General features: G+C 44.5%; 1 protein-coding gene across 32 annotated transcripts in view, besides 1 other annotated feature; it reads right to left on the minus strand.

Annotated features, from left to right (window-relative positions):
* The window catches only part of MYT1L (myelin transcription factor 1 like), a 542163-nt gene that overhangs the window by 322099 nt on the left and 203842 nt on the right, over positions 1-16222 (minus strand). The window lies entirely within an intron of this gene.
* Positions 9698-9787: a silencer, noted in NCBI's record as "silent region_11104". NCBI's record gives its function as "represses an Ori minimal core promoter by ATAC-STARR-seq in GM12878 lymphoblastoid cells {active_cell/tissue: GM12878}" and the evidence as "EXISTENCE:reporter gene assay evidence [ECO:0000049][PMID:35858748]".

Genomic DNA, 16222 nt, shown 5'->3' on the forward strand with positions numbered 1-16222 from the left:
AAGCTGTACACCTCAAGCCCTACCACTCTCACTGAGCTCCAGACATTCATGGTCAAAGATGTCCTTGGCATCCCCGCCTGGTGTCTCACAGGCATCTCGATGTAACAGAGCACAAGTCCTAGGAGCGTCCTCCCATCCTCCCCCCGACGGCACTCACACAACGTGCTGCTCCTCCAGAGATGGACGAGAGGGAAGTGGTAACGGCAGAGGAGATTTTAGCAAACCCGATGAATTCGAAGAACAGGGACTAGCAACCAGCATTACAAGGTGGTTAAGAAACTGGGAGCCATTTTCAAATACTAATTTTGAGAATTTAGGGAATAAGAAAGGAATTCTTGAAAACAGAGGCTAGAAATGTGAAGGATCTTTCTAACAAAGAGGAATTGTCTGTAGTGAATAGGGCAGTTAGTATGACACACAGAAAGACAGGGCAACAGATCATCAAATGATCCATTTGCAATCACCAGGAACCAGGTAAAGACCGGAGGAGAAACCTACTAGAATAGTTGGATTGTGTGTGAATATTTTCTCTTTCTTTATCTCAAAACGTGCAGGAAAAAAAGGACGAAGACAAGAGTGAGTGAATTTGCCTTGGGTGTTGAAAGTCGAGCCTGGGGGTCCTCCTGGGGGTCCTGGCCTGTGCCCTGTCTCCTCCATTGGCTGCCATGGTGGGCGTTGCCCCCGGGCAGTATATCATTCACTTGCTTTTGCCATCACTCCTGTGAAACACCAGGGTGAAACAATTTGCGTCAGGTAAAAGCCTGTTCTATATTGTTCTTTGAAGCGTGCAAACTTGGGACCACTATTTTTTTGCCAGCTTCCTGAGGAGCGTCACAAGAAACAAACCCCAGCTTGTAAGGAATGAGCGAGATGAGCCCAGAGCCCCCTCCCGTGTTTGCCCTGTCTGGGACCTTGTGCTCCTCAGCGTGATTAAGATTCTTAGTGTTTCATGCTCCAGTCCTGCTTTCCTGAGACCAAAATATTCTGCATCCCCTTTAAAACAAGGCATCTCTCTATCGAAGCTCACAGCAGGCTTCTGTGACCAAAATTTCAAATGAAGTAAGAACACATTCATTTACTTATTTACAAAACCAAGAAATAGTTTTAAAAGTTTTTATAAAAAGCAGTGCTTAAATGTATCACCCCACAATTTACTGGTCAAAGGAAAGTATTGTACGTTTGAAACACTTTAAAAATGTTTCCTTAATCATTTGCCTAAAACTATAAATTCAAAGAAAAAGAGTTAACACAATTGTACTGACTTCCTTCTGCAAAGAGCTCATGCACACGATGCAGTGTGTGGTGGGGCATTGAGACTGTAGCCACGTGGTGACCTGGTCCCAGGCAATCCCCATTACAGCTGTGTTATCTGATGCCCTGGAGTCTTGATACAATGCAGTTTCTGGGGAAAGGCCTGGCTTCTGTGTTTTTATCAGCACTCAGGCAACACTGACGCTGATGACCCCGGACCACACTGAGGATGCTCATTAGGAGAAGAACTAACACCAGGAGCACTCTCAGAACTAAGAAAGCATTGGCCACTCTGCTGACCACTGCATGGCCTCTCCAGTCTGTGTTGAGGAAAACGAATTCATTATGAACCTTAATACCATGGCTCCAATATCAGCTCTGAACCATGCAGCCTCCCGCGAGTCGCACAGTGGTGCTTGGGTTAGGTTTCATCATCTGCAAATGCCTGTAATGCTGATCTCCTCTGCAGAGCTGGCTTCATAATCATGAGACAATGGAGGTAAACTGCCTGATACAGTGCTTGGAAGGCAGCAAGTGCTCAGCCACTGGGTGCTGCTGTGGCCACGACGAGGAGCATAAGGAGGGTGCTGATGACCACGGGGGCCCTGCCAGCTTCACTGTCTCCTGGCTGGGAGAAGAAGCAGATTCCTAATAACCTTGTCTCCCACCTCCTGAGTTGGGAACTAATGAAAAGTAAAAGTGAAACAGATGGATGAAAACCAACTATTGCTTTATGTTTGATAGAACAGAATTGGAGAGTGACTTGGGATTCCTGATAAACAAGCATCCTAAAAATTAAACTTTGGTCCTCCAAGCTGCAAAACTTCCATGTGGGGGAAAAACCTGCCCACTAAGCCTGCTGTATGATCCAGGTGCAAAAACAAAGCTGCCGTAGCAGGGCTCCTCCACAACACAGAGGGAGAATGAAGCGACAGGCACGCGCTCCGTCCAACAGCTCCACCAGCCAGCCAGGTCACTCCTGCACCTGGAGGGGCTTTCTGGGAAGACTCCTACGTGCTCCCACTTTACCACTGCATGCAGGGATTTCCACGTGGAAATGTAAGGTGGGGCCCGCAGGCTTCCCCAGCCTGGTCCATCTCACTCTCCTCATTGTTCTGTTGTATGTGCTGCTGAAAACTGGGCCACTTTTAAGTGGAAAACTTGCTCAAAGATCTGTTTTAACTGCCAGCTGCTGCCTCGGGTGAGTTCAAAGTCATTGTTTCATTTAACCTTCAAAAAGTTATGAAAACATTACCGCCTCCATTACACAGATAGGAAAAAAGTTATGAAAACATTACTGCCTCCATTACACAGATAGGAAAATAGTTATGAAAATATTACTGCCTCCATTACACAGATAGGAAAATAGTTATGAAAACATTACTGCCTCCATTACACAGATAGGAAAATAGTTATGAAAACATTACTGCCTCCATTACACAGATAGGAAAACAGTTATGAAAACATTACTGCCTCCATTACACAGATAGGAAAATAGTTATGAAAACATTACTGCCTCCATTACACAGATAGGAAAATAGTTATGAAAACATTACTGCCTCCATTACACAGATAGGAAAATAGTTATGAAAACATTACTGCCTCCATTATACAGATAGGAAAATAGACTCAGAGGTTTTATGTGTCAGATCCCAGCATAAGAAGGGAGCTGGAGCTCAGAGTAATACGCCCAGTCATGCAGTGGATTGTAAGTAGGCAAATGATCATCTGACCTTCAAAATGTGGTGCTATTTCCTGGTATAGACTAGAAATAGAAAACCAGCATTTTGATTTTCAGTGCAAGTATTTTACTTATAGCACCCTCTTAGCTCCCTCGTGTAGGAAAAACAAGTCCCAAGGTTACCATGAAGTCTGTGTCTTTCTGTTCGTTTGTTCTGGGGAGTCCGTCCTATGTTGACAAATGAAAGACCTTGAACATTTTTGTCTTTCCTACCTTCTGGCTTTAGATAAAAAGCAACCTCCTCAGAGAGTCCCCTTATAATCGCCCAGTTTAAGATAGGCTTCCTGCAGCTCTGTCATGAACACCTTCCTTTCCTTCATGATATTTGCCACACTTTGTAATTAGATAGTTATTGACTTTTCAGGTGTTTAATATCTGCTTCTCTCAGGAGATAATACTTTTTTAAAAGCAGGAGCCATGATTTTAGTTTACTGTGATATACCCATTCTGAAATATAAGAGGTACCCAATAATGATTGTCAAACAAATGAATGGATGAGTGGATGAATGAATCAAGAGTTGGCCAATGAGTCAATGCTACAGGTGGCCAGACCCAGGATCTTCATAAACAACGCAAGGAGTCGAAGAGATCTTTGAAATGCAGCTCAACTGCTGCTTCAGTCTGGGCTTTTCAGGTTTCCGTCATCACGTGCATAAATCACAGTGATTTTCACTCAGTGTCCTGCCTGCCTGGAAGCCCAGCCCCTTGCTGTGTGTTGTTCAATCAGAAGATCCACCCACTATTCCAGGTCCAAAAGTCCTACCTCCGTAGCATCTCACAGACTGTTTTCTGTTCGTCATACACAGCAGAGCGTTCAGGGCTTTACCCTGGATCTCCCCTCTGCCTGGCACGCACATCCCCATGCAGCCACGGTGCTTCCTCTTCCCCACAGTGAGTCCCTCACCACCCGGCTGTTAACACTTTTCCCTGCTCCTCCTGACAGGTGATCTGTTGATCACTCTCCATCTGCTTTAGTTTCCTCCCTTGCATTGAAATCTTTGTAAAATACAGTAAAGTGTGTTCATTTCGAATGCTATCATGTGAGTGCCTCTACCAGATGTAAGTGCCACAAGGCCAGTGTTTTTACCAGTTTGTCCCCTGCTATATCTCCAGCACCTAATACAGAGAGCACATAGTAGGTGTTAAATAGATTCGCTTTTGAATAAATGAATTTATAGAACCCCCACAATAAAAATTTCAACAGGGATTAAGGGTTCTCTCACGTTTTTATAAATCCATGAGACAGTGACAGGCATAGGAAGGTTCTCGTGCTTCCGTATTGACTCTATTTATAGAAAAAGAAACATTAGAAAGCGAAGTGACAATGAACAGAATGCAACTTTTGCCAAATGTGTAAACTTAAACTAAAAAGGTCAAAGGCATTTACTTTGCCAAATGTTTGTGGTGTGTCTAGCACGTGCCAGGGCCTGGGTGACATGCTGAATAAACTGGTGAGTGAGATGCCCCTGCCTTTCTGTGGCTCGGTCTTGTGCGGCATCTAGACTAGGAGGGCGCTGCCAAGGCAAGGCCCCCGCGGGAGTGTCGGGGTGGGGACAGCGGGAGAGCTGTGCTGTGCAGTTGAGGAAGCTGAGGCTGAGAAGTAGGATGCACCACGTCCAGTCGACGAAAACAGGACGAGCCTGCTGTGCAGTTGAGGAAGCTGAGGCTGAGAAGTAGGATGCACCACGTCCAGTCGATGAAAACAGGACGAGCCTGCTGTGCAGTTGAGGAAGCTGAGGCTGAGAAGTAGGATGCACCACGTCCAGTCGACGAAAACAGGACGAGCCTGCTGTGCAGTTGAGGAAGCTGAGGCTGAGAAGTAGGATGCACCACGTCCAGTCGACGAAAACAGGACGAGCCTCAACATTCCTGATTCCCGAATGACCATGGTTCCACTCGATGTTCAATGAACACGTTCTGTCCTCATGAGGCCCATGCTGAGGGCTAGGCACAAAACCACGAGGAAGAAAAGGCCATCCAGGGACTGGAATGCTGCGGAGGAGATGCCTTTGTCCTTGTTTGCCTTCTGGAAGCTCACGGGTCTCCTGTGACAAAGAAGCCTCCTGATTCCATGTTACGTTCTTGAAGAAAATGTCTGTATTTCACTCCCTTCACTGAGCACCATGCTGAGTCGTCAAATACAGATGTTCTTCCCAACCTGCATTCTTGCCTCTCTTCTCCATTCTCTGCCCTTGCTCCCAGGAGATCTCAATCACAGTGATGACTTGAATTCTCAGGCTAGCAAACCTTGGAATCATGAGCAAACAAACCTCCTTCCACCTTCCACATTTAGCTTATCTACACATCATGGAACTTGTCTCCAGAGTGGGTCCCCAGTGAGCCATGCCTTGTGATATGCACGGCCTTCTGCCATGCCTTCTCCAGAATCTCTGCCCGTCCTATGACTCTCTTTTGATCAACGCAATGCAGTGCAATTGATGCCATCTGACTTGCAGGACTGGGTTAGAAGATGCCTCTCAGATTCCATATAGGTCTCTTGGAAGATCCGCCCCCGGGAAAGCCAGGCCATGTAAGACCATTGACCACCTTAGGACCACCAGGCTTGGAGGAAGCCAAGACACCCACGTGGAGAGGCTGTGCAGGGAGTGAGGGAGGTGCAGCCAACCCTCACCTGGCTCCACTTCAAGGCCCGGGGGCCAGACCTGAGCACTGGAGCCATCCTGGGCATCAGCCCAGCAGTTGTCAGAAGACTCCAGACACATCTGGCATTTGTCACCAACCACATGAAAACTGTGAGTGGACCTACCCAGTGAGGGCAGTGGGAGAGCTATGAGAAAGAAGCTCAAGTGGTTTCTGGAGGCCACTGGGTTTTGGGTGGGTTTCCACATGGCAGCAGCTCCTGGACCTCTCCCCCTGCAGAGCACCCACAGCTGCCCACCCTTGCGTTCCCTCTGCCCCTGCCTTCAGTAAGCCCTCAGGGTCTCTTGCCAGAGCCACGGAAACAATTTTGTTTTCCCGTCATTGATGTCTTTCACTTCTAATCCAAGATAAATACAGCAGTTATCTTAAAAAATACAGGTGGGATCTTCTCATGACTTCAAAATAAGATTTTTGTTGAATAAAATGCAGTAGTAAGGATTTGTGAAAAATAAACCAGAGAAAATGTGTTGCAGTAGAGAAGGAAGGAATCTGTGGACTCCGTCTGCATGTTGTCCTGGACGTCTCCACCCTCAGGGATCCTGAGGGTCTCTGCAGAATCACCGGGACTTCAGTGGGCATCGTTGGATCAGCAGGCGGACCGCCGTGTAGGGTCTATGATGGAAGACGTGTGTCACTCCCAAGGAAGCCTGGATACAAAAAGCATCTGTGCCAAGACGCAGCCCTCACTCTGGTATTGGGCAGAACACAATCCATGTTGTGAGACCCATGAACAACACGTGACAGGGACTCCCTTTAGAATGCAAATGTTTCCCTAATCCTTATATTCTAAACAGCATAATACGTTCATTAATTATATTAACTTAACGGAATAAGAAAACCATGACTGGGGTAGGATCATCACAATAAAAACTAACAAAAATTAGGAAACATACTAGAAATAAGAGCTGCGTCTCCACTAGATAGCAATGAGGAAGCTGCTGAGAGAGGAAGAAACTGGAGACAACCCCCAAAATAATGAGACAGAGCCAGAGTCGGTAATAGGCGGAACATGGAAAGTGAAAATCTTCAAATGCTTCTCATTTTTTTAATGCATGTCATGATTCTTATGCTTATGTTTGGGGTGTAAAGTTGATAGAATGACAAAATATTATATTATATATGTACAAAAACACACATATACTCACATGCCCACACTATATAATGGATATATTTGCTAGTTGTCAGGGTTTTATTCTATATTTATATTCAATAACATTTTTATATTATTGAATATTATTTATATTTTTATATATAATATTTTATATTCAATAATATTCAATAATAATTTTTGAACATCTATGTCAAACAAAGGCCAAGTGGAGAGTTAAGACAATAGGATGGAATCAAATGAAGGTGGGAAACTGACAGGCTCCTCCAGGCGGTGTGCTCCAAACCATCTTAGATATTTAATATGAAGAATTGCTTAAAATTTTTCAAGCATAAGTTGAAGTATATTAATCAATAAAACAACTGAGATAATCCTATTCTACTTGAAGTCCTAATTGAAGATAACTTAAGCAAAATAATTGGTGCATAAACACTGATATTAATGATTTCTCCAATAATATTATGTGGCTATAACTAAGGTTGAGATATCAAAATCAGTGATTCCAGAAATTCCCAGAGAAACTCTACTCAGATATCCCATAGCCATAAAATCAATTACAAGGATGCCTGTTACAAACATAGAAGGGTTATAAATGTGGTTATGCCTTGTGCTTGTCAAAATATTTGAAAATTCCTCAAATTTTAAAATCGACAACAAAACAAATTCTGTTAAGGATAGTGCCTTGGATACTACCAATCAATATTAAATAATTCCAGTCATTTTGCTTGGATTTTTTTTCAGTGAAACTTGAATTATTATGACAAAAGGAATTTTAAAAATCTAAATTTAACAATTATCCATCAAATACCACTTCCTCCCTCCCAGACTAAACTACCACAAGAAAACATCAAGTACATTCTACTTTCTCAACAATAGTTTTATCAAGGTTGGAACACTGACATTTTCATAATGAGAGGTAAATAGAATAAGGCGCCATCTCCTAGGAGAACAGTGACGGAATTAAGAGCTCTCTGTATAAATGACAGCGTGCGCCAGGGCGCATGGTTGCTTCCAGTTTTCCTGCCACCATATTCATTAGGTTAAATATTCAACCATGTGGTTAAGACAAACATTTGAAGATACAGAATATCTCTAGCTACTGGTTGGGTTTGCATTTACACTGAAACCTTACGCTACCTCTGAATCACAGCTTCACGCTAACAGGACATTTTCACGTACATTTTTCAAAGGTGTGAAAACATGTTTGACCTGGCCAAAAAAAATTAGAAAAATGGTGAGAGGACAACCTGTTAGGCAATTTGCTAGGAATAAATAACACTTGTAATAATATATTGCTTTAAAAATTACAGAGTGCTTTTACCTACATAAATAGGCACTTAAGAATTCATGCTTACAGTAAATAAATAGTAATCTATGAAAAATGTAGTCTAAGGTAAAAACTCATAAATATCTCATCTTATTTGGGAGTCATTACCCAAAAGTAATTAAGGGAAAATAAAATTCAGTTTTTGTGTAATGAATATATTAAAAATTTATCTCAATGCAGACTACTGAATTAAGTATTTGAATTCTAAAACAAGTTTTCAGAATTAAATGATCATATTTCCATTTTCCATTTTCCGTAAGAAAAAATTCATCTTAAAACCTGGAGTAGGAGAAGCATGCTGTGCATTTCAGGGTACATCCCTGAGTGCAGCTCAGCCCAGGTTTAACCTCAGTTCCTTACTTATTCTTCCCTTGCTAGTGACAAGAGTTAACATCATGATTCGCATTAATACAAGACACAATAATATTAATTTCATAGTGTTAGAAATACTCAAGTATACAAAACTGTATGTATGCATTCTCTTTCTAATTATAAATTATTTCAAATGTCCAAACTAACATACATTACCTTTTAAACATACTAACTGTAAAGTGAAAGTATTTTTTTTTAATCATAGCTATCTTACGTCACTTACAAGGAAATTTGGTTTGCGGAAATATGACAGAGAAAAGAAATATGTATGTGTGCGAGTGAGGGTGTGTGCCTGTTTAAGAGAATAAAGGAGACTTAGATGACTGAAAACACCTAACATTCACAAATGAGGGAAATGGAGATCAACCTTAGGAGATTTGCCCAGCTCGTTACAAAATCTGGGTTAGGATGCCGTTCTTTGCCCCCCATGGTAACAGAGTTTTAGTCTAGATCGCCGGCATGCCTCACTACAATATGATAGTGTTAATCGTCAAATTAGCTCAATCAGCTGAGTTTTCTATGAGGAATGGACACTGGTTCCTTTGCGTCTACATTCACAGCCCTGGGAGGGAGTGGTCGCTGCCCTTGCAAGCTCAGCTTAGGGTAAATCACAAGCCAGCCATGTACACCTTAAAGCTGGGGATGAACGTCATCTGCCTGGGCCTCTGTTTTCTCATAAGTCACGTGCTGCTTGTAAAATGCATAATGTGATGACTATAACTTAACCTGTTTCAAAAATAGTACTTACCTCTCTGCTTGTCTCTTCTTTCCACTACATTAAGCTTCCTATTAAGGCCTTTTTTATTTATTTTTATTTTTAAAAATCATTGTAAAGTCAGTACAGGGCTTGTTCTCCATCTCACTCTTTTAAACCTAAATTATTGTGCCCTGAAGGCCGGCTCTGTACGCTGGTACACTGTGAGGGATGGATGTGAAGCTAAGGGGAGTCATGCTCTTACAAAAATCAAGCTGTTGGTGAAACTCAAACAAGAGAAGCTAAAAATTTATAATTAAGGTAACTCTTAAGGTATTACTTGTTCCTATAAAGCAGTTTGTAAATTACGAAAGATGATCCCATGCTCCCCACTCCGCACTGTGGATACGAATGTGCGCATTGCACACACGTGTGTGTGTATTATCCTCATCTCTGAACCGTGCAATACCTCGCTCATAGCGACCACCGAAGATTCCTACCAGCTGTCCCCATTGAGTGCGCACTGTGTGGTGGGTGTTTTAATCTCAGGAATCCTGCAGACTCCCCCGAAGTCCATTTCCAGTGAACCTGTGTGTTAGACCCACGGCCACCAGGTGGCGATGGCGGTCACCGGGAGGCCGGCGCGGAGGAACCAGCGCCCACAGACCCTTGCTCGGCGGAAGTCAAGGAGGTGCCCCCCAGCCCGTGGATCGAACTGCCGGATTTTCATTTTATAGTGCAACTCTTTTAAACATGATTCCATGTTAAAAATAATTGTGCTTGTAAGTCTTTTAAACTCGCTCTCCTTCAATCATATTGGCGAGGAAAACATTTTCTAATTTGCAGCCCAGGCTGGAGTGCAACGGCGCGGTCTCGGCTCACTGCAAACTCCACCTCCCGGGTCCGGGTTCAAGCAATTCTCCTGCCTCAGCCTCCCGAGTAGCTGGGATTACAGGTGTCCACCATCATGCCCAGCTAACTTTGTATTTTTAGTAGAGACGGGGTTTCACTATGTTGGCCAGGCTGGTCTTGGACTCCTGACATCGTGATCCGCCCGCCTAGGCCACCCAAGGTGCTGGGATTACAGGCATGAGCCACCGCCCTCAACCTCTTTCTTTGTTGCTTTTTGTTTTTTGAGATGGAGTTTGTTTCGCTCTGTCACCCAGGCTGGAGTGCAGTGGCGTGATCTTGGCTCACTGCAACCTCCGCCTTCCGGGTTCAAGCAATTCTCCCGCCTCAGCCTCCTGAGTAGCTGGGATTACAGGTGCGCACCACCATACCCAGCTAATTTTTGTATTTTTGGTAGAGACGGGGTTTCACCTTGTTGGTCAGGCTGGTTTCGAACTGCTGACCTCGTGATCCGCCCACCTCGGCCTCCCAAAGTGCTAGGATTACAGGTGTGAGCCACCGCGTTTTTTCAAGCTTTCAGGAATTCTCTATTATGAATGCAGTCTTCGTCCTCCCACTTTGCTACTGGAGCCCAGGAGGGGGCTGCGGTCGCCTGTGATCTCAGTCCCTTCTTGCTCTATCAATGATTGTTTCTGCCACATGAGACCACCCGGGAAGGAAAGGGTTGCTTGGCTGATGCCGGCCCCGATGGCAGGGAAGCACTGCTGCTCCCCGCACCCCTGACCAGGGAAGGTGAGGTCTTCCTACGCTCTTGTTAAACTGTGCGTCTGTCAGCAGGGCGGCACCGTCATCTGGCGATGATGTGCACGTGGACCTGATTATGGCACTGGTGAGATCCCACACTATCCAATGTGACTAGCAATGCCGTGCAGTCAACTGCCTGTATCTCCCACTCACTTTAAGAGTGTGGGCACCGGCTCCAGACTGTCTGGCTTGGAGTCTGAGTGCTACTTCTTCCTGTATGTGCCATCTTGGACGATGTATTTGACCTTTCTGTACCTCGGTTTACTCATCTGTCATGGGAACACTGCAGCCCCTCTCTCCTGGGGACTCTCATGGGGACTCTGCAGGTGGAATGCACTGATGGATACGAGGTGCTCAGAGCAGTGGCTGGAACACGGAAGCACCCAGGGCATCAGAGCCACCATCATCACAGAATGTCTGCCTGTGTCTGGCATTAGACTACACGAAGGGGTAGGAAAAAGCCCACCTTCCTCCCTGTAATGGCCGGCGTAGGCACATAACACATGTGTAACACGCTATCATATACAAAGTAATTCATGTACAGGGTCCAAGTTCTTAAAGAACTCAAGTCCTCCAAACAAAATAGACGATTTAAAGCTAACAGCCATTACTTGGACATTGTTGTATAGTCTTGGGCCATGGGCAAAATTTACCAATGTGTAAGAGTTTAAAGTTGTTCCTCTTCGCTTCTCTGTCACAGAGAACGCTGGGTTGGCCATACAACTTACTGTCCTTCCGCATCAGTGGAGGGTTCTGTCTCTGCCAGGCTGGTTCCTGGTGTTTTGTACAGAATTGTGGAACTGGGAGGGAGGATAGGAATGTGTGTGTGTGTGTGTGTGTGTGTGTGTGTGTGTGAGAGAGAGAGAGAGAGAGACCAATGAGTAGAAGACAGAACTGGATCCACACAGGGATTTCTATGGGGAGGCGCAGACAGGGACAGTAGGAGAGAGAGCTTGGGGGCAGTCACACAGGGTGAGGGAATGAATGCAAACTGAGAGAAGCCAGGAGATTGAGGGGTTTTCAGGGCACGCTGGCTCGCCTGACCTTGTGTTTCCTCCCCAACATTCTGGCACAGTGGGGGATCATCTGACCCATTTCTTTGGGCACAGCATCACTGCCGGATGAAACTCTGAAGGCTCAGGCTATGTTGGGTTACCCTGTTTTTCTGTAATCCTAGGATTTAAAGAATTTGATTTGTTTGGGGCTGTTTCAGCATCTTAGAGCCTGTGGGAGGCGGAATAATGCTCTTCTTTCCAGAAAAGAAATCCCTAAAGCGAATCCCTAGAACCTGGGGATAAAGTATGTGAGTATCTTACATGACACAGGAGACTCTGCAAGTGTCATTAAGTTAAAGTCCGCAGATGGGAAGTGCTATGGTTTGGATCTGTGTCCCGCCCAAATCTCATGTTCAATTGTCATGCCAAGTGTTGGAGGAGGGGCCTGCTGGGAGGCAATTGGATCATGGGGCCCATTTTCCCCTTGCTGTTCTCACGACACTGAGTTCTCGCAAGACCTGGTTGTTTAAAAGTGTGTGGCAACTCTCCCTTTTCTCTCTTCCTCCTGCTCTGGCCTTACAAGATGTGCCTAATTCCCCTTTGCCTCCCGCCATGACTGTAAGTTTCCTGAGGCCTCTTCAGCCATGCTTCCTGTACAGCCTGTGGAACTGTGAGCCAATTAACCCTCTTTTCTTTATAAATTACTTAGTCTCGGGTATTTCATTATCTCAGTGCAAGAACAGACTAATACAGGAAGATGATCTTGGATAGTGGAGGGCCCAGTGTCAGTCCTCACAAGGGTCTCTGTAAGGGAAAGAGGAAGGCAAGAGGGTCAGAGAAGTAGACGTGATGGTGAAAGCAGACATTAGCATGTGGCGGGGCCCTGAGCCCTGGAAAGCGGCTGCCGCTGGACACTGGGAAGTACAGGGAACAGCCTCTCTTGGAGCCTCCAGGAACACAGCCCTGCAGACCCACTTCAGATACTGACCTCCAAAGCTGTAAGCCAATCATCTGTGATGTTGAAACCACAGAGTGTATGGCCAATGTTACCGCAGATGTAGGCAACAATACAGAGACTTTTCCTAAGACTGCAAAATGCCCTTGGAGGACTCCCAGCCACCCACTCGCTTTTGGGTTCTGCATTTTCTTCCTCAGTTTCTTTGGCCTGAAGAGGGCCCTGAAGAATTCACATGTGGATATGATGTGTGTCTTACACACAATTTGAAAATACAACCACATAAGCCAATTAGGGATAGGCGAATATTACAATAAAAACAAGCTATTCTTTTTCTTTTTTTTTTAGATGGAGTCTCGCTCTGTTGCCCAGGCTGGAGTGCAATGGTGCAACCTCAGCTCACTGCAACCTCTGCCTCCTGGGCTAAAGTGATTCTCCTTCCTCAGCCTCCTGAGTAGCTGGGATTACAGGCACGTGCCACCACACCTGGCTGATTTTGGTATTTTTAGTAGAGATGGGGTTTCACCATGTTGCCCAGGCTGGTCTCGAACTTCTGACCTCAGGTAATGCACCTGCCTCGGCCTCCCAAAGTGCTGGGATTACAGGTGTGAGCCACCCTGCCTGGCCCAGTTATTCTTTATATTTGCATATTTTTAGAATTTTAGTAGCTTTGATTATCTGCTATATCTCATTGATTCTTTCTTAAGACCATGTGAGGTAAGAATACCAGGATACTATTTCCATTATAAATGCAGAGACAGATGTAAAGAGGTTGACTTTTCTGGAGAACAAGGGGTGGTCCCGACACAAAGGCTGAAGTTGTTTGAAGTATGGCCAGACACTTTGCTGAGGCACAGACATGTCCACCTGTGGCACAGGTGGGGCTGCCTAGAAGCCTCCCCGACTCAGGTCGGTGCTGGCCTCTCCCAGCCACGGTTTCACATCACATCATCCCGTATTTTTTTCAACAAATACAATTTACCACTTACCTTGTGAGTGACTTTCCATAGAACTTAAACATTAAAGGCAAACCTTTATCCATAGTTAGTTGAGGTTTTCTTAACTGAATAAGCAATGTATAACCATTAGAGAAACACAGAAGGAAGTCTAAAATATCACATAAAAATCTCAGGGCCTCTCATCCTGCTTTTCTCTTTACCTTCCTGTCTCTTCTGCCCTTTTACTAAACTACCCAGGGGCAGTTCGACACCTTGGTGTCTCACACACACCTGCCAGTCTCCCTCACTGCTGGGGTGGTCCAGGCCTTAGTGAGTGGGGGTCTACTTGCCACAGCCTCCTGTCTTGCCTTCCCACATCTGGATCCAAGTTTTATTATGCCACAAAGATGAGCTATTGAAGATCTATTTCTGATTCTACTTAAAACCTTTAACAATGCTACACATCAATGAATAATTTCTGGAGATTATTTCTAGAAAAAATGTACAATATGATGATTTGACTCCCGTATGTATCCTTTACTAAACTGTAAGCTCCACAAAGCAGGAAACAGGTACATTCTGCTCACCTGTGTATTGCTGTGGTTAGGTGTTAGGCACATCAACCTTAATAAATATTTGTTGAATGCGTGAGTGGGGCATGAAAACCTACACACTCAGGTGTATGAAGACATGGTCCTTGAATACCCAAGCTCAATAAAAAAGGCAAATTAGGGAGTAATTAGAAATAATACAAAATATTGTAATTTTGGAAAAGAATCATTATGAGTATAGTGCAATGGCATTCTTTTATGGTACCCTTTTGTGTTGCAGAAGACCATAGGAAAAAAAATGAAAGGAAAGAGTAGAGAATGAAAATGCTTAAAACCATTAATATCATCAACCTAAATAACTTTAAATAGTATAAAGTAAGTCCATTGAAGAACTGTATTTCCATTAACTTTTCAAACACACCAAGAGATGTAGTCATTCTAGCAACAATGCCGCAATGCAAGAATCAAAAGTAAGAACAGACGGCTTCTGTGTAGCTTCACAGCATTTTCCTGTGGAGCACACTGTTTCATTCTCATTATCACCCAGATCATGGTGGACACAACATTCCCCTCGTGGGCCATGGCTAACCCAGGCTCCAGGCCTTGCATTTGGAAAGGGGAGAGTAGGGGCGGGATAAGAGCTCTCTTCCCTTTCCCAGATCTCCAACTGTTCCACCAGCTTCAGGGTCCCTGTGTTTACCTGGGAGGGAAGTTGCTTACATGTCTTTCTGGTCAAGCTGCTCTAAGCCCACGACTGCCTTTTTAGGGGATTATTTTGAGATTTAGAGATGGGATGTCCATGCTCAATAAACAATGATCCTCATTATCATAGGAAATGCATTTTAATGTTTGCACTAGAATTGTTCCAAATTAAAGCAATCCCATAGCTCCAACTGTAAAGAATGCTTCTATAATTTAAAAAATGCCCCTTGAAGTAAGCATTGGAAATCCGCCATGTGTTCACCACCACCCCTGCTGTTTCATAGCCATGGGGTCTGGGGCCCAGAAAGAAGAGGGTCATGACCATGTTGTGCTTATCAAGATAACCTCAGCCCCTTGCCATAGGGTGGGTAGGGATTGGCGAGCCTGAGGCAGTCAACACAAGTGTTCTGATCAGAGGAACCAATCCAGAGAGGGGTTTGTAACCTCAACTGAGACAAGGAAGGAAAAATGGAAGTCTGCTGCAGGACTCTCGCTCTGATGAGCTCCTTTCCAAAACTGGCCTTCTCCTCTACTGGGCATGGTCATCTGGGAGGCAAGGGCTGGGCCTGCTGCCACAGAAGTGCCCCAAGTGCCAAGGCTCCATCCGCACATTTTATCACCAGTTCCTGTTTGTGTATGAAGATTTCTTAGAGCATGGACCACCCAGATGAACACTAATTTTTGAGTACCAAAATTTTCATTCCTTGAGTTTCAGAGGATTTATAACCAGCATACACTGCTGCTCCATTTCACACGGATCACAGATGTGTCCATGTATTTTAGCCCAGCAATTCTCTTTCTTCATAACGGAAGCCTCCAGGGCTTTTCTAGCCTACTCAATTCTCTGGGTTTATGCATTTCTAAAGAGCTGAATTGCCTTATAGTAGTAACCAAACTAGTCAACCCACCTTTAAATTCTACATGCATTTTTTAAACTTTTATTTTAAGTTCAGGGGCATATGTGCAGGTTTTTACGCAGGTAAACTTGGGCCATGGGGTTTGTTGTACAAATTATTTCATCACCCAGGTATTAAGCCCTAGTACCCATTAGTTATTTTTCTTCATCTTCTCCCTCCTCCCAGCCTCCACCCCATATGTGTTTTAGAATTAGACTTCGCTGCAGGTACACGTGTGCAATTATGCACACACACTGAAGCAGCTCTCACAACTAGCCAAAGAGCCTCCTCGGTAAAGACAACACTTTTTATTTAAATACAAACAAAAGGCTCTCTTAAAACCTGTTTTGGCCTTGAAAGAGCATCCATGTTGTCAAG

The sequence above is a fragment of the Homo sapiens genome, chromosome 2, assembly GCF_000001405.40.
Source record: "Homo sapiens chromosome 2, GRCh38.p14 Primary Assembly".
NCBI lineage: Eukaryota > Metazoa > Chordata > Mammalia > Primates > Hominidae > Homo > Homo sapiens.